General features: G+C 37.1%; 1 long non-coding RNA gene across 1 annotated transcript in view, besides 1 other annotated feature; it reads right to left on the bottom strand.

The window, feature by feature from the left end:
* LINC01162 (long intergenic non-protein coding RNA 1162) overlaps positions 1–20,369 on the bottom strand; it is a 187,718-nt gene that overhangs the window by 32,097 nt on the left and 135,252 nt on the right. The gene's annotated exons all lie outside the window — the stretch shown is intronic.
* Positions 9,471–11,120: an enhancer, noted in NCBI's record as "VISTA enhancer hs1148". NCBI's record gives its function as "enhancer in: limb[4/4]" and the evidence as "EXISTENCE:transgenic organism evidence [ECO:0001131][PMID:17130149]".

Here is a 20,369-nt window from a genome sequence, read left to right as displayed (position 1 = left end):
CCACAGTCATCTGCAAACCATAAACAGCCTCAGAATACCTGATTTCTTAATAATAGTAACATCACCATTTTGAAGAAGATAGCAACTATGTAATTTTTCTCATAAATTCTTTAAAATATGTAATTAGGGAATGTGATTTATTTTTTAAGTTTTCTATCCAAATCAAAGCCTTGAGAGGCTCCTTTAGTTATGTTAAGTGATCTGTTGTTCAAAACAAGTGATACTGAACCTCTGGACTCTTTTTTTTTGCATTATTTTTTTTATTTGAGATGGAGTTTCCCTCTTGTTGCCCAGGCTGGAGTGCAATGGCGTGATCTCGGCTCACTGCAACCTCTGCCTCCCGGGTTCAAATGATTCTTCTGCCTTAGCCTCCTGAGTAGCGGGGATTACAGGCATGTGCCACCACGCCTGGCAAATTTTGTATTTTTAGAAGAGATGGCGTTTCTCCATGTTGGTCTGGCTGGTCTCGAACTCCTGACCTCAGGTGATCTGCCCACCTCAGCCTCCCAAAGTGCTGGGATTACAGGCGTGACCCACTGCGCCTGGCTGAACGTCTGGACTCTTGTGCTCAAAATAACATAAAATAAATTTAAAGTAGCAAATATGCATATAACTATAGAAACACATACAAAATATAAAATGTTAAAAATTAGAATTGTTATGAAATTGGCATAGAATAGAAAAGTAAAGTATATAAATTAAATATTTTGTGATTTCTAGGGCTATGGGTTCAAAATGCCTCCTACTGAGCCTGGTCCTAGAGCTATGCCATGGAAACGTGAGGAGAAGAGGGAGGTGAAGCTGGATTAGCACTGCCTTTATGTGTTTTGTATTTTGTATTTTGACTTTTCATGTAAAACTTTTTTTTTAGGAAAAGGGATTCAATTTTAAAAGTTTGAAACTGATGTTGTAGGGTGTCTCCAGTGTGGAGAATATACTTCAACAATTAACCCTCAAAGACACTTAAAAAGATTCTTAATTTGTTTGAAGTTTTAGAATAAACATACCACGAGAAGTTCAGAGAGATGGAAGAAAATTAAGCCACATAGTTTTACATGTCTGGTTGGTTGGTAATAACTGGAGAAGCCCCTAATGGAAGACTCGGTTGCCCTTTCATCTGTGTTATATTCTAAATCAGCTCAGATAACTTAGTTTTCTTAACTTACATGTCTCTGCATCTGTCTTCTCCACAACACTTGGCTCCTGCCGGACTTGGTCATGTTGGGTTTGTTTTTGAATTTCTAGCATGACCATAGTGACATACACATTACCAAGTCCTCAGTGTGTGTTTGTTGAACTGAATTTTGTCATGAAATAAGTCTGGGTGATCATACTTCTGCCTTCATGTAGAATCCAAACAACATTAAACACTGTAGCTGTTTTTCCCCTTTGTTTGGAAGACTTGTCTCTTGTCCAGGACAAAGTGTAAATTGTTTCTCGAAAGATGGAGTTACTTTTTTTTTTCCCCAAAATTCCCAGAGGAAAATATGCTGCAAATATGACTATTTAACTTTTCCTGTATTTAATAACTAATGAAAACAGAAATCACCATTTCTCAGTCTAAAGGACTTACCTTTTCATACACAAAAATTGGGGAAGCACTTATGCATGTAAACAAAACAATGGGAAATAATTCTGCACATGATGAGCAAGCTGATGAGAAGCAAGGCAGCTTCATAATTTTGAGTGAAAGCCAGGAAAGCCTAAGTAATCTTAGGGGTTTTGGTCCAATTTTCAGGTTCACGTGAACTCCAGACCCTAGGTGTACAAGTCTCCCCAAAAGGAGAAAAGGACCACCACCACCAAAAAAATGTAGGTTACACAAATCTGCATAAACCAAAACTAGTGAATTTCCACAATTCTAGAAATATGACTACCTTATTTTGTTTCCTTTTAATATTTGTGAGAATCATATGGATAAAGTCAACCAATGTATCCTTAAAATATAATTATTTGAAAATAACATGATTCAAACTTATTTACTTATGTTATAGGACTGTAATTGTCTAAAGCAGCAGCCTTCTGTTCATATTAACAGCCACAGAGGCTGAAACTTTATGTAAAAAGGATCATGGAGACTAACAACAAAGAAAAATATAAATAACATGGAAGAGAAAGGATAGTCTCAGTTTCTATTAGAAATATGCTGCAGTTAGCCTCCAGGAATTTGAGATTTCTATAGCATGCTCTGAAATGTATAACCCTTACATTCACTGGCTGTTACTCTCCACCTCTTTCCTAGCTTTTGTCTGTGTTTTACCCATTTCTAGCTTCATTCCCCACTCTCTTCTTTCTATGTTTTCCCTTCCATCTCTTGCTTGAGCTAACCTCTGTTTTGTATTTCTTCTCATTCAAACCCCATCATGTAGTCAAAACACACACACACACACACACACACACTCACACACACACACACTCACACACACACACACGCACACACCAGACACACAAAGAAATACAACTCCAAACACTTCTTACGCATAATGACGATTACTCATTCACTCAGTCTTAATGCAAATTTTAGTTTTTCTTCTCAGCATTAAGAAGCTGATTTAGTTGTGAAAGTCAGACAAGGATTTTAGTCCATGAATAAAATATGCAAAAGGGACATATGCCAGGCATATTGAAACACAAAAATAAATATAACAAATCTTAAAATTAGGTAATGGGAACACATTGAAAATATACATTTTTTCTCATTATAAAAATAATATATAGTCTTACTGAAAATTTAGAAAATGTGGAGAAGTATAAAGAAAATTAAAACCACCAGTAATATTGCCACCAGACATATAATCAATGCTTATCTTGTTATATTTCTTCCAACCTTTTTTTCTACATGATTATATACATATATAAATGCACATATTTAAAAATAAAATTGGGAACTTATTCTATCTATGTACATGTACACGTACACACATATTTAATTATACATTCAAATGCATAGGTAAAATTCTTTAAGCAATTTTAAACATCCTAGAATAAATTGGTTTAAAAAGAGATTTTTAAAAAAGCAAAGCAGAACAAAACATGCAACTGAAGGAATTTGCTATGTATCCTCAAAGTATAGCTGTATCACTGTGATTGGTTAAGAAGCTATAGTATGGGTCTAGAATGGCGTTGCTAATGAGATTAAGGTCATGAGTCCAATCTCTGAATGGGTGAGCTTAGCATCACACTTACAGAAGCTCTATTTCGTGGCACCAGAATACACCCCAACACCAAACAGTGGTTTCATAAATACAAACTATTGTTCAAGAGATGGGCACCCTGAGCGTGTGCATGGCTAGTGAAGTCCAGCATTTTATAAGCCTACCTGGGCTCCAGAGCCCTTAATTTAGAGTAACAACATTTCCCATCCTGAAGAATTACTATCCCACACAGGACACACTTATAGGAAATTTTGATTGTAGTATTTAAACATCCCAGTGTGATAGCATATGAGGATACTTTTGATCTAGTATCACCTAATTTTAGAGATATCATGGGGAAAAGCCTGGATTCTGGAATTAGATAAATCTGAGTTTGATTCCTGTTCTGTTTCTTATTACTTGAATAGATGCATACAAGTTACTTAACCTTTGTAGCCGTGTTTTCCTCCTCCGAAAAAGAAACTAATAACAACAAGTTTGCTTGTTGTAGTTGTGAGGATTAGAAACACTGTAAATGAAGATTTATCAATATTAGCCTCTCAATACACCCTGGATGTCATCTTTATTGCTGCTGTTGCTTTTCCTCCCACATCTACTCTATTCCCCCATACAATCCTCTCCTGGAGCCTAGTGATTCCCCACAGGCATCCTGCCAAGCATCTGCAAGATATGCCACCCCATTTTGACAAATGTGCACACTTAATTTTTGTTACAATAGAATGTGCACTGTTTTTTGCCATGGCCTGTCAGATGGAATGTTCAGCTGAAAGGATATGGGGTGTCCAGTAAGAGGCTAAACAAAGTGTACTCTAAAGTGAGATTTACAAGGCTCATGAGTATACCTCATCAGGGGAGTAAACTATACTACTCCACTACAACCACATTGCTGAAGAGTAACTACTTGTGTGGTGAGATAACTGTGGGCACTTTTATATATGCTGGGAAATATTCTATGAAGGAGTACCAGTTGGGTTATGATTATTGCTGATTTGTTTAATGTCACCTTATATCTTTTTATCCCTTAAAGAGTGCCACCCACACTTCTGGGGTGCTATGAAGAAAAGCACTTGAGAATCACGCCCTAGTCACTTCAAACCACCTACGATCCCCGGACACACCAAGCTCTTTCTTGCTTCTTTGATTCAGCACAAAACAAACATCAAAAAACAATTGACCATGAAAACTCTTCTCCTTGTTTGCCTGGTAAAATCTTACTTTCAGCACATGCCTCCAATGTTTATTTATTGTCTAAAATCCAGGGTAGGGGTAAATGTAAATAGTAGCCTAGAAGATAGAAGACAAATATGAGAAGATAGTAATGCTATAAAAATTTAGAAATGATAGAGAACTTGGTGAACGTAAAAATGTATTTTCAAAATATGAGTGTTTAGACTCAGTGCACGGTTCTCTGTGACAGAATTTACACATTATTGGGTCCAAAGAGGCAAAAACACTGCTCCCCTAGGTACTGCTGCTGCAATGTTTAATGAAACTACACACAAGAAGTGCCAAGGCCCTTAAGTTCATTGCCCAAATGGGATCTGCTTCTCCCTTTAATGGGTGGGGAATATAGCCATGGCCTGGGGAACATGGACCCAGGACAAGTTGTTTAGTTTTTCTACATTAATAATTCTTGAGAACAAATCTTGAAAAGGAAGAACAAGTCTTGAGTTCAAAAGTTGCACCACGTGTTTTCTATCTTTGTTAGTGATTTCATTGTTTAAAATGATCCCTCCGGTGTAGTGCTAAAGTGATTTCTACTGTTCTAAGCTCAAGAAGGCTGCGATGGGCCTTACAGAGAAAACATGTGTGTTACATGCACTTCATTCAGGCATGAGTTAGAGTGCTGCTGGCTGTGAGTTCAATGTCAATTAATATACTATATATTAAATATGGTGCCTTAAACAGAAACACACATAAAACAAGGTTACATATTGATGGGTTGATGAAAATGCTATGGCCAGAGACTCAAAGGAACTTAATCTAATATTTCTCCTAGGAGCAATGGTTCGGTATTTGCTAATTCAGTGTTTGTAGTGACTTTATTGTGAATGACATGAATGGACTGTATTTCCACATACAGTCCCCCTATGGCCCTACGGAGTTCACAAAAGTAATCATTTTGAGTGTTCCTCAAAGCCTGCAGATCCTTTGACAGTCTAGCAGGCTCGGTCTTACTTTTTCAGGTTTGACAAGCTGCTATGGATTGAATTGTGCCCCTCTACCCACACCAAATTCATATGTTGAAGCCCAAACACACGATGTGATGGTATTTAAAGATGGGGCGTTTGGGAGGTAATTAGGTTTAAATGAGTTCTTGAGGGTAGAACCCACATAATGGGATTAGTGCCCTTATTGTAAGACACCCCAGAGAGCCTGCTTACTTTCTTTTCTCTGTCTCTACCCACATCCCAGAAAAAAAAGCTTGTATGAGGACATAGTGAGGAAGGTAAACACCTGCAACCCAGGGAGAGATACCTCAGCAGACATTGGCTCCACTGGCACCTCGATCTCGGACTTTTACTCTCCAGAAACATAAATTCCTGTTGGGTAAACCACCCAGTCTACAGTATATTGTTTTGGCAGCCTGGGCTGATTAAGGCAGAACAGAATCCCCACATAAGCAACCAAGTAAGAAGTTCCAAATCTACAAAAGTATGATTCTGTTATTTCACTAAAAATGTGTGAATTTCCTCTCTTCCCCCTTTCTTTTTTCTTTTTCTTTTTTTTTTTTTTTGAGATGGAGTCTTGCTCTGTTGCCAGGCTGGAATGCAGTGGTGCAGTCTTGGCTCACTGCAACCTCCATCTCCCACGCTCAAGCGATTCTCCTGCCTCAGCCTCCTGAGTAGCTGGGACTACAGATGCGTGCCACCAAGCCCAGCTAATTTTTGTAATTTTAGTAGAGACGGGGTTTCACCATGTTGGCCTGGATGGTCTCGATCTCTTGACCTTGTGATCCACCTCCCTCGGCCTCCCAAAGGGCTGGAATTACAGGCGTGAGCCACCGTGCCCGGCCTCTTTCCCCTTTCTTGATCAGGGCCCAGGTAGGGTCAATCAGAGTGACAATTCAAGCCTGACTAACAAATAATCACGCTAAACCCATGTAATTAATAGCATGAGCATGAAATGAAATCTCCAGATCAGGAGGCAAAGGAACCGAAGAAAACTCACGTTTCTCAGATTTGTCTGTCAGTGGAAAATGTTGGGATGGCTAAAAGGTAGAGAGAGAAATAAGCTAACATGCTGGGCTAGAACCTGAAAGGGCAATTAGGAGATGTATCCCAGAATCCCAAAGAAAAATCATTTCACATTTCCACTGACCTAGATTAAATCCACCCAACCAACAAATATAGAGGTATACCTTTTTCTCCAAAAATAATAAACATTTTTTTCTGATTATAAAAAGTAAGAATAATCATTGTGAAAATTCAAACAATGCAGAGAATCACAGAAGTTATCAACTGAAACTCCATCCATAGGAGATAACTGTTGTTTACATTTTAGTGATCTTTTTTCCATATAATCTCAACAATATGTCCCGGATATCAAGAATTATAAAGCACGATAAACATTTTAAATATATGCATAAGATTCAATTGTATTTACAAATCATAACTTATTTTTAATCACTTATGAAAAAGCAATTAGATTTTTTCCTTAAGCAAGACTGCACTGAATAACCCTGTTTGTACATCTATGTATGCTTGTGGAATTATCTTCTCTGGCTAAATTTCTAAAACAATTATTGCTGAGTCAAAGTAAATGTATATTTAAATTTTAGATACATATTGAGAAAAATAATCCTTTCCTAAGTCTGTCAATGGCATTGAGAAAATTTAGTGTAGTTCAGGTACTGTGTTTGAACTAATAGACTTTCCACGCCCCTCACCGCTTTGAGTTTTCTGGCCAAAAGGAAGTCTGTGACGTCTGTGGTATGAAAGACATACCATTTACATTGGCCACCATTTACATTGCGAGTAACTTTCTCTCCACAATGCCTATGCCAAAATTCCAAAAGGCCTACTTTCTACCAATGCCTTATTCAATTATGAAAGTCCAGCTTTCATAATTTGTGTATTACAAGCTGTGAATGCAGAAATATCAGTAATGATCTGAAAACAGCCTTGCAAAAGATGTCTTAGCCATTTCTAAATTCATCTCATCTCTACTCATAATTGTTTGTGAATATAATACATTCCAAATATTTGTTTTATGTATTTAAAGTTCTAAAATTTGTGAGTTACCACAATTTTGTATTTTCAACACCCTAACATAAATCTTCAACTGGATGTCCTATAGACCCTTTGGACCTAATAAAAAGTAGGAATAATAAAGCCGGGCACAATGGCTCATGCCTGTAATCCCAGAAGATCACCTGAGGTCAGGAGTTCAAGACCAGCTTGGCCAACATGGCAAAACCCCGTCTTCACAAAAAATTAGCCGGGTGTTGTGGCACATACCTATAGTCCCAGCTATTCAGGATGCTGAGGCAAGAGAATCGCTTGAACGCAGGAGGCAGAGGTTGCAGTGAGCTGAGATTGCACTAGTGCATTCTAGCCTGGGGGACAGAATGAGACTCTGTCTTAATAATAATAATAATAATATTAATAATAATATTTCAGTAGATTAAATGTATCATGGGCTGCCACAAAAACACATTATTACTCATTTTCACAATTCCCCATGGTAAAAATTATTACCTCATTTTTATAGATGAGAAAACTGAAGTTCTTCCATAAATGATTTGCCTAAGGCCACCCAGTCAATAAATGAAGGGAAGAGAAGCTATTACTATTAAAACCCAACTATATGTTAGTTGTTTTATATATCTCATTTTTTCATGTAATCCTCATAGTAACCCTGTGGGGTAGGTGTCATCTCTAATGTTTACGTGAAGAAATAGGCTAGAAGGGTTTCCCATTCATTCCCTTTGTTTTCTAGCACATAAGACAGAGTGCCAGGCACACGGTAGGCAGGAGTGAATGAATACTTGAGTGAGGGTGCCCCTGAGCAAACTGTGGATTTCCACATAGTTACAAAATAACCATTTAATTGTCTCATCAAACTTCTTATTTCGGTCCAACTTCATAAACAATCTTCAAGAAAAATATCTTACATTTTTAGGTCTAAGAAACAAAAATTTAAAAAAATATAAGTGATCACTTCCAGTTGATGCCTATCAGCTCTCTGAGAGCAGTATCCTTTATAAAGAATTATGGTGGCACTATATTGATGGTGGCAATGGGGGGAAATAAATAGTAAGCATATTACCTGAGTACACATTTTCCTTTCAAATTTCATCCTAAAATACTTGCATATTATTTATAAATTTCAAAATGTTATTTCATTATTTCGTGATCTCCATAATAAGTAAATATTAATGTTCTAAAGAAGATAAATACGACAAATAATTTCAAGGCCAAATGTATGTCGCTTCTAGATTAAATTTGCAAATCTATTCATTTAGTATGCTCAGTTGGGAAGATGGAGATACAGACTTAGTCCCTTAAGCGACCTTTCCCTGAGAAATAATTAATTGGCATGTGCTAGGCTTTGTTATAGAAAGAAAACACCCTTCATGAATATGAATTTAATGCCTTTGAAGCACATAGATCCAGATTTTTTTAACCATCTCTCCCTTCTTTTTGGACTTTGCAGTTTTGAAAAACATAACAAAATTTTGCATTATCTCTGTAAGTTTTCACAAACAAAAAGCTTCTGGAGCCAACCTTCGATTGATGGATTTCCATGAACAATTATTGGAGCTATGACTTTTGAGAAAAATGTTTAGAATGTGTCTGAAATGAGCAATATCTAAAGAACACTTGATTCCCCACCTCCACTCACAGAAGCCAGACAGTTTTAGACAAAACTAGTTGCTTAGTTTCTGCAGCAGATAGAAACATAGATTGTTATAATGTTGACATTTAACCCAGAATACCATTAAGGCAAGGAACACTCCACCTTCCTTGTCTTCTTCTCCTGAGGAGCAAAATGCAAAACCTGAAACTGGAGGACACGTTTGGGAGCCTATGGGAGAAAACACAACACACAACCACAAAATGGAAGCATTCTGGGGAAATCTCTTGATGTACAAGAAGTTTTAAAGCTGATGAAATCTAAAAATACAACTCTTTAAATGTCTGGCAAAAAAAGCCTTAGATGAGAAACAGAAGGATAGAGGGAGATGATGGAGAGGGAGATGGAAATGGGGATGAGAAGAAGGGGAGGGAGGGGAAGGAGGGAGGAGAGGTACGGGAGCCGCAAAGGGAGAGTGACAGAGAGAGAAGAAAGTTAACCTTCATGGAGTGATTGCGTAAGGCAAAAGGTGTGGTAGTTATTATTTGCCCAAACTATTGTAGACAAATGAGTATATCTCCTGATGAAAAAGGAGAGAGATGGGGCAGGGGGTGTAGAAAAGAGAGAGGCGGGAGAGGGGAGAAAGAGAGAGAATTAATCTTCACAGAGTTTATTATATAAGGCAAAATGCTTGGAATTATTATTTGTTCAAACTATTCAAGACAAATGAATACATCTCCTGATGAAGGGGGGACACTGGAGAGAAGGAGACAGAGAGAGAGAACGAGAGAGAGAGAGGATTACTCTGTCCATTTTAAAGTTAATCAGTATCCATGGTGATGTATTTCTCTAAAATAATAAAATGGATTAATCAGGAGCTAAGGGAGAAAGGAGGGCAGCCCTTTTATCCCCCTGCCCACTTTCAGATGAAATATACATAATATAAGAAGAGGCCCCTGGCAAGGAGCCACAGGAAGAGCACCTGGAAGATTAAAGCTGTGGCCATAACATTAACAAAGTACAGACCACACTGAATTAATGAGCGCGGAGATAGACATTCAGTGGAGTCTTAATTTATTTTCCTTTTCTAGCTCATCCTTTAAGAAAATGACAGTGTCTTCTTATCGATTTTACACTCAGAGATCAATCAGAATTGCCCTGACTCAGACAAAATTTACAGCAGCCTCTGACACTGCCCGGAGCATGTGGGCCCAAACAGACATTACAAGGAAGCAATAGATCATGTTTGTATGTAGAGCTTGACATGCTTAAAAATAAGCTAATCTGTAGTGGAATTTCCTTCTTTTTGACAAGTTGCTCTGCCCAGTTTCTTCGGCCTCTTGTTATGAATTTCTCTCCCGGCTCCACTATTAATTATAACATGCGAAAAGGATTCATGTATTTAGACCCTGAGGGAGGTCATCTGATCTGCAGTTTTAGATAAAATATAAACTAACAGATCACTCCTACTTAAACAATGTGAAATGTCACTCTGAGGCACTCCATAAAAAAAAAAGCTAGAGGTGTTCCGTCAAGAGCTATGATCAATTCTGACAACCCAACAATATCAGGGCTAAATGATGGGCCTGTACATTCCTAAACAGCCCCCAGTGGAAATTGCTGTATCCGGAAGCTCTTTTGTGCAAGTAACTAGCTGTATTAAATGCAATAATTACAGAAAAGACACTGACTGTGGCGCTCGGGCAGTTGTTGGCTCAGCTGACTTGTTCCCACACCACCATTTATCTTGTAACTGGGGCTGCGTGTGCCCTGACTTGACACATTGGAGAGAAAGTCTATGGAGCTTCCCCTTCCAAGCCCGCAAGACGCTCTGGGCTCACCGTATGCCAGTGGAGAGGGTTATTTTGTGCGGCATTTGCTCAACAGGAACAGAGGAAAAACATGAAAACAGTTGCTTGGGGGAAATGTATTTTGTGTGTGGATCCCGCTAGAATGGGGCTGTATCTGCCAACAGCTCAGATACAGGGAAGGCACCCCCTAGGTTGATAACAGACCCGCTTCTATCCACGGCACTTGATGTCTAAACCTCTAGCAGATATAGACACTGGATAAAAATAATGAAACAGCTCCAGGAATACATTTTCCTTACTCTTAGTTGACCAATGGCATATAATAAGATAATTTTGTGCTATATGGCTACCTGGAAGGAAGTAAAACTACCTAGGTATCAGATACCATCTTAATAAAGAAAGTGATTTGGAGCAGTTGGGGAGAAGACCTCTGTGGAATCACTGACCCACTCATTTGACCATATTACAAATGAATTAAAACTAACTTAAAGGCGTCTGTGGAGAACAATATAGTTATTCTCTCCTATAGGGGAGAAAGTCACAACTCCTAGAGTTTGGTTTCCAAAGTTATCTTGTTTGTAAAAAAATCTACCCGCTAGAACATATCAATCTTAGAAATATTCATGTTGCTAAGAAGTAGGTGACAAAGACCTTCTCTAACTTCTTGTAAAAGAAAACACTTTCATTAAGGGTCAAGATGTTTAAAAGAGGCTTTTTTCTTCCCCTATGAAACACCCACACATGGACCCTGATGCTTTATTTTGCCAGGAGATAATAAATACCCATAAAATCATATGGAATAGCAGCAAATATAATTTTAAACTATTTACTGAAACACTCCTCGGTGCCAGGCTCTGATAGACCCTGGGAATACAGACGAAGCAGTTAGGGCTGAATCTCATGGGAGTAAGAGACATGTCAAGAATTATACATTGGAATAAATGTTTCAATAAAAGTGTGTAATCCTGCGGAAACACAATTGAGAGGGATCAAAATTGCCATGGAGAAAAAGCTGTAGTTCAAGAAAAGTACCAAAGAGAACATAACATTTTACTTAGACCAAGTTTGTCCAACCCGCAGCCCACAGACTTGCATGCAGCCCAGGACAACTTTGAATATGGCTCAACACAAATTTGTAAACTTTTTGTGATTTTTTTTTTTTAGCTCATCAGCTATCATTAGTATTCGTGTATTTTATGTGTGGCCCAGGACAATTCTTCCTTTTCCAATGTGGCCCAGAGAAGCCAAAAGATTGGAAACCCCTGACTTAGAACACCCCTGCCTTAGATCTTGAAGGACAATCAGAAATTTTCCAAGGGGTCCTGGGCAGAGTGGGGAGGAAAGGTTTTCTTGTTGGTGGGAAGACCATGAGCAAAGAAGGATATGGAGGTGTGAGAGCACGTGCCAAAGTCCTGAGATGCTAAGTAATTAGGGAGTCCAGTGAAAAAACAGATGGTAGAGGAGTAGCTAGAATTGAGGCCAAGGTCAACCCATGTATCTCACAGGACATAAGCAATAGGGAGCCTGTGTGTGTGTGTGTGTGCGTGCGCACACGCGTGCACATGCACCTGCTCACATGTGCCTGCTTAGCAGGAGCTTAATAAGACTGTTTCTGGCATGTTAACTCCGGCAAAAGTGTGGATGCTGGATGGGTCCATGAAGCAACTGGATGCAGAGAGGCAGTGAGGGCATGGCTGTGCTAGCCCAGGCAAGAGTCACCGTGCCATCGTCTTCCCGTGGGTTTGCTATATTTATACGTTCCCGACATGTTTTCATTCTATCTGGACAGCTTAACTTTTCTTGCTCAAAATTTTTGTAACTCTCCATTTTTTCTCTACAATAATTTTGTTGCACTTGTTCTAGATAAAGATAACAGACACTTGATTTTTGGAAGAGCGAATGAAGTGATTGAGTACTCACTCTGTGGAGCCATGATGATTCCATTCAACTCTTAGTTCCCCCTCATAGCAGCGGTTTGACTTTGGACAAGTTACTTAGCTTTGCTGTGCGAGGGTGTTGTCCGATGTAAAATGGTGATAATAACAGCATCTATCCTTTAGGCTTGTAAGAATTAATTAGTTCACACATTATGTGTTTAAAATAGTGTCTAATTTGCCAGATCTCTTGTGTCAAATTTGAAGGATTTCAAAACTAGCACAATGAAAAAATTATCTAGATGTAAATATTATAATATGATCAAATGTGTTGATCAATGATTTCAGGGAGGTCTCTCAGACTGCTCCAAATAATTTTCTTTCTTAAGATGGAAATTCTGATACTTAGCTGATGTCCTTCCAGGTAGATGTAAATATCTTGATCTATATATTGCTCTACATATATGGATCCATGTTAATACACAATGAAGGTGTTATAAAATATCCTGGAGCTAAAAGGTGAGGTTGCTGAGTCATGTCAAGTGGAGACCCAAAGAAAACAAATAGGATGACAAGAAACCTCCGAAATGAGCACGACACAGTTGTATGCCTTCCCCACTATCCGAGCCAGAGAAAAATCAGCTGGCATATTGCCTTGTAGGAGCAAAGACTCTCCAGAGAGGAAATATTCTAGAAGACAAGACAAAGACAAACAGAACCAACATGGATTGCTTCTGAAAAGCAAGAAAGAAAATAACGTGAATGTGGTATTTGATCACCGAACTTTGACTTCTTTATGGGTATCAAGGAACATAGAGGAGAAACCCTAAACACATTAGTGCGAACAAATGAGGCTACGGTCTTTGTGTCCTTTTAAGTTTTTATCTTTTCCTTTTCTGGATTTAGAATTCTGGCTTAGCCAGCTCTGTTATTTTACACTTTTCATCTGATGGAGAGTTCTGAAAGATGTGTCAGACTTTGTTAGTGTCCACTCTCACACCCCAGGCTAAGGGCTGTGTTTCCCACACTGCATGTAGACTTTTATTATATTATCTATTCCTGTCCCCACCCCCTTCTACAGATTAAAAAAAAAAAAGGCAGTAGAAGTCACCTAGTGGCAGCAAGGATCCCTGAAAGCAAAGCCTGGAAGAGAAATTCACTTTTCACTTTTTTTTTAACCTTTACAGACTTATTTACTTCTGTTGTTCTCTAGAATATTACAAACTATTCTACCTGAATGTGAGTGAACTTGAACTTAGTTTCCAGGCAATAACTAAGATAATTTGAGGATATCAAATTCTATCACATAAGTATCATACAATAACAGTGATCTATAAACTGATGTAAGCCACTTGATACTTTTGAGGAAAATTAAGCTAAAATCAAGAGGCTTGCTTTCCAAATTTATTCTTATTTTGAAAACCAGCTAAACTAGTAAATTTCACGTTTGGTTTAAGAGACACCTGTAACCTCAGATAGTACTGAACCCCATATATACTATTTTTTCCTATACATACATACCTAGACTTTCGATAAAGCTTAAGTTAGGCACAGAAAGAGATTAACAACAATAATTTAAAATTTAAAATAGAACAATTATAACAACATACTGTAATAAAACTTACGTGAATGTTGTCTCCTTCTCTCTCTCAAAATATCTTACAGTGTACCATGAGTAACTGAAACTGTAGAAAGCAAAACTGTGGACTACTGTAATAATTGTCTATCACTTAATACAGTGCCTGGCACACGGCATGAATTCAGTAAACATTTATTGAATGAATGCATCTGATTTATAAAATAGCAATTAATTATATTATGAATTCTTAGCTATTTTTCTTTTTTTATTAACACAAGTTTGCCAATAATACACTTGGGCATATGTCAAACATGTCACTTAATATTTCAATAGCTACCATCATTTGGAAAAAACTAGTCGTCATAAAATGGATGGCACAACAATATGGGTATCTATTACTTTTAGATTTGTGAGGCCTGGAGAATCAGTCTTTGTTTTGCAAGTGCTCAATTTCAAATAATTGAACATCGGCATTTTAAGTTATCATTCCAAAGTGATGGCTAGGCAACCAGTACTTTTGTTCTGATGTAACTCTCAGGCATGTTAATCACTGGACTTGCTTCAGTTTCTTCTGATACATGAGGATTGATTTTTGCAGATGACATTGCCACCTCAACAATGCTTTAGGTTGTGTAGATATCAAATGGGTTGTATACTCATCATGAAATACTGATATTGGAAAATCTGTGCATATATAGGAAATAAAAGCAAATATAATACTTCTTTTACTTCTAACTTTTCACTTTAGTAGAAGGAATACATAGGTGTTTTTACTTGCCCATCCAAATTGTAAGGAGTTACTCTCTTTTTTTTTTTTAATCTAGCTTCATGAAAAATATTAGAACCAATTTATGTTCTATTAAAGAAAACTACATATTTTATGGTTAACATTCTAGAATAATGCTTCACAGTTTCTCCTTTACAGTGACTTGATGACTTTTTGCTTTTACCTTATGTATCTATGTATGCTAAAGAGTATACATAAGTTTCATTTTTAAACTTCTGAATTACATATATAAAGCTCCATAGAAGAAAGAACTATTGAAGAGCTAAACTGGCATATCACAGTGAATATAACTGGCTCCCCAGTCACAGAATTTAATAGTTTTGCTATGTAGCATGTAACCTTATCTAGTTTAATTTAACTCAGTGCTACTGGCTACTGTGTATAAATTGCAGAGATCTGGTCCATGGTCTAAGGTGATGAGGCGAAGTTATATCAATTCATTCATTCTTTTAAAAAATCCAACCCACAAATGTATATTGAGAACTACATGTGTTCTCAATTTGCGTCAGCCACTGCATTACACGTGATAGGTAATTTTATTGGAGCCTATTTTTAGTTTCATCCTAAGAGATATTTCAGTATGTTCACTAACTTTCCCATAAAATCCTATTTCCATTCACTTGTCCTGTCATGTCCATTTGTCCTATGAAATCATTATTTTTATCAATTTGATCTACATATATATCATCTCTTCAGAATGAAGCTCTAATATTTTACTCTGCCATTGGCCATTTAAAGCATTCTCTCTGTGACAAGAAATAGAAAAAAAAATTTGTCTGAAGTATTTCCTAAATTAAGTTCAAATAACCAACCCCACTTAATTTCCTCTCATGCAAAATGTTTCCTGTTTACTAATCAAGTTTGTTTGCCTTCTTTAGCAGCCTAATTGCTACTCACTGGTATAAGGTAAACAACCCAAATGAGTGACTTGAAGAGACACAGGGTAGGTAGAAAATTATTTCAATTCATTAATTTGCTGTAAGTCCCCTTCCAGAGGTTTGCTTACCAGCTCTCTGCACCCCTTGCCTTTTGTTCTCTCACTGATTCAGAATCTCTTGGAACTTCAAGAGAAGTTATCAATATCTCATGTGGATAACGTTCCATGGGATTTTTTTCTGTGCTAATCAAGCTTCCTGATGCAAATACTCAGAAATCATCTTAATTTAGGAGTCAGAACTTTTTTTAAAAAAATGAGTGGGCTGATAAACTCTGTCTAATTAAGTATTCTTGGTAACATTTTATTTTATTTTTTCTTATCTTACAAATAATACATGTTTATTATAGAAAGTACAGATAAATAAAAGCCCAAAGGCATTCATAATCTTAAGCTCACACTCAGAAATAATCACTGACAACAGTGAATACAATTCAGGTCTTGTTATGAATTCTGTTTATATATATTTAAATGTATCTATGTTTACATGTATCTATACTGATTTTTTATGATACAATAATGTGAAGCTATTTTGCATCCTTTTTTTTTTAAATAAATACTCTTTCATGAACAGCTTTCTTACTTGATAAATACTTTCCTTATTTTGTTTTTTATTATGGAAGGTCTATGCTCTATTTAACCAAGCTTATATAATTAGTTTTTTATGTTATATTTAAATCTTTAATATTATAATCTACTAACATTTTCATAGATAAATTTTGCACATAATCTCTATGATTTTAGGGCCCTTTTCTAGTAGGTAAAAATATTTGGTGGAATAAATGGTTGGTAATTTTTTTCAGGGGACTCTTCCACCTTTTTCAAGAATAACTAAAGGACTGAAACTGGCCCACTAAATATCTATTTAAGTATTTTGCCTTCCTGTGAAGGCCAAGTGAAAACTACTTGGAATTTTTTGACCCCTGCTTTCTTTCTACTCAGGGGAGCCCCAGCTTTCTTGGGAGATCATAAAGGTAGAATGAGCAACAGGTGCCGAGAAATAAAGATTGAGCTCTACAAAACTGCCGCCAAAAATGGCTGAGAATTGGTGATTTCATGTAGTTAAATGACTTTATCCAGTAGTGCAAAACAGCTTTTCCTCTTACCCTCCGTGCTTAGAGTGTTTTGCTACTATGATGTGTTTTCGGTGCCCTGAATCAATTTTTATTTTGGGGTTTATGATACAAAATATTGCTTGCCATTTCAAAAGGAGTTAACTAGCTTTTGTACAGCATGTGCATTAAGTCAAGTGAACTATACCTGAGAAATTTAAGTAGGTTCTAAGTATGTTTTTAACAATCCTAAATCATATTAAAAGAGAAGAATACACATGCTCAAACTTAGTTTAAACATGTGCATACTAGTTGTGAGGATGTTCCATTTCATTTGAAGGGAGTGACTATTTCAAAACATCTGGGTGTTCCGGGCTACCTAAACAGATAGATGCTAGTGGTTATACCCTCTGTGCAGAATCTACAATTATGGAAATTCCACAGTGGCATGCTGTGCGGGCTAACATAAAGGTACTGTAACGTATGCCTATGAGGGAAAATATAGAACTTTCATGCATCAAATGAGCAAGGCTTGACAGGCAGTTCCATTTTGATATGGGTCATGCTGCTGATAACTACCATGCTTTTTAAAGGTTACATTTTAAAGGTTACATTAATGCTGAAGTTGTGCATGAAGATGAGTATCCTGTGTAACCATAAGCTTTATATTTCATTCATCTCTTGTCATCTTAAAAATACAGTTAGTGATACAAATGGGACATAACATTTTGAAGAGCTCACTTGGTATGATAAGGACTTGCCCAACCAAGTACCATTTTTTTCTGAGTAGTAATTCCATTAAGGGAAAAAAAATTCCTCTGGCCTGTTTCTTTCCTTTTTGCTTTCAATCACGCCACAATATTACAAAACAAATTGCTACTAACAGTGAGGCTGTCATATTCAGGAATGAAATTGGTGAGCCCACAGAGGCCAGTGATTGGCACAGCACAAGTTTCTTTTTAACGATTACACCGCTCAACAAAATACCAATGTTTTAAAGGGCTCAACAAAGTCGTTCACTAAGATGCACCCCATTCATTCATTGAACATTGGGATGTCCTCGTGGAGCTTCCTTCTAGAATTTACCAATAAGCAAGTCAGAAATTCAATAGTTTTCGATCAACATTTCTGCCTATAAATTGTTAGGTAACTCCAAGAGCATTAAATTTCATAGGGCTCTGGTATTCTTATCTATAAAATGGACATGACAATGTCCAATTTTACTATAAATATATGTGGTACTGCTGTCAACCTGCTGAGGGATGAATCTTAAAATTCATACCTGTTAACAATTTGAGAATTTTTATAAATCTCTCAATTTCCCCCACATTTTACTTTGACATCTTAAAAAGTAATTCATTCATTCACTCAATATTTCCTAAGCACCTGTTGCGTGCTAGGTACTGTGCACACAATAGAGAAAGCAGGGAATTGGACAGACATAGCCCCTCTCCTCGTGGAGTTCATTCTATGAGGATAAGGGTGAACAAAATTTTTCTTAAATTTTCTACGTCTTTCTTAGACATAGACTCTTCTGTTTCATTCCTAACTCTCATTGCTCACCAGTAGTCCATGGATCAAAGTTTAAGATACAGTTGTTGAGCTGAATCACTTCCAAAGTCTGTTCACTGCAGGCCCACAGCTCTTCAGTGGGGAGCTGAATAAGGAGTGGAGGCTGATGAGCAGAGTATAGGAACCCCCCATCCAATTGCTCAGGCACATTCTCAAGTCGCCTGTGGCATAACTTGCAATTTTTAGCCCTTGAAAATTGTAATCAGAGAGCTAAAAAAAGTTGGGTTATCTAATGCAATCCTATACTACATAACAGAGTTTTAGGCAAATAGGACACAGACACGCACACAGACACAGACACACACACACACACACACACACACACACACGCACTTTTTTTTAATAAAAGAGAAAAAAACAGAAAGCCTCACAATGCATACCATAAGGTAAGGGTAAGCTCATGAAACTGTGTGAATGTACATATATATATATACACACACATATACATATATATGTATAAATACATATGTCTGTGTATATTTTTGTATACATGGTCATAAATAAAATGTATTTCTTTGCATGGGTCATGATTAAATGCCATTGATATGTAGGAATCCTTTGCCATTATTATTAGTTGAAGACTCTAATAATAGAACCATAGAATTCTCCTTCCTTCTCTGGATGATACTTTCTAGTTTTTCCAGATCAAGATAGCCATAAAGTGTTATCTGTTGATTGCAAGTTATATTTTTGCCTCTTAACTATTCCTTGTTTCCTCAAGAGTCTCCTCTGTGACAACTTCCAGACCGTTCTGCATCCTGGGTGTTGTCAGTGACTTTTTTAGAATGAAATGGCCATAATTAAAAATAAATCTCTTGTTAGGACCAGTTACATAATGAAAATGAGGGGCCTGTTCTTCAACATTTATTAAAAATTGCAGAACAATGACTGTAGAACATTAAACCAAGCATGGAATCCCTTTAGGCAAAGGACTCTGTGCAACAGTACAGGTTGTATGCCTATGAATCTGGCCCAGGCTCAAGGTACAGGCCGACCACTACAAGGTGCTCTAGGACTTTTGCTGCTGGTGTTTCAGTGATCGCTCCTCTATTATTGCAGCTCTGACTGCAGAAGCTTGTTATTTCCAGAGTGAGCAGTGACTGCAAATATTCCTCCCCTGCAGAAACTCCATCTGGTCTCCCAACACACTGGGAGGAACTCAGCCTGCTTTGTGCATGCTCTTTCACCCTGGTCATACCACCCCCGTGCATCTCTGCTCCTCAAGCATGGAGGTCTTTGATGTGAAATTTCATGCTCAATCTCATGGTAGCCAGACCCATGAGTTATGCGGTGCTCAGGGTTCCAGAGACTGCAGGGTTCATTACTCCTGGCTACTGGGTTCATTACAGAAATGCTTTGTTCAAATAATGAGTTGCTCATTAAAATGCTGTAAGTTGGTAAGATATTCCTTAAATAGATATTTAAAAAAATTTCAGTAAGCATTCAAAAACCCAATACTTCATGAAGACTACATATGATATTACTTAGAAAAAGCGCTGTGGAAGTCTAACTCACATTTAAATATACTAAGATTATTTCATTCTAAAATAATGAAACCATTCAGTTCTTTATCTTAGAAGGACATGATAAGTCAGAAAATCTCAATCCTTTTGAAAAAAACAAAAACAATCTAAACTGTAAATACTTTAAAACAGAGGCCAGTTAAAATGTTAGATTAAATTTGACATTCACTGAATGTCAAAATGCAGTTTAGGGACCAATGACAACTGTATTCTTAAAAGATACCATTGTTAAGAAATCTCCCTTACATCTATTAAAATAATAAGTAGAAATAAATATCAGCAT

Source organism: Homo sapiens, chromosome 7 (assembly GCF_000001405.40).
Source record: "Homo sapiens chromosome 7, GRCh38.p14 Primary Assembly".
NCBI classification, from domain to species: domain Eukaryota; kingdom Metazoa; phylum Chordata; class Mammalia; order Primates; family Hominidae; genus Homo; species Homo sapiens.
This window is presented reverse-complemented; position numbering and strand designations above follow the sequence as displayed.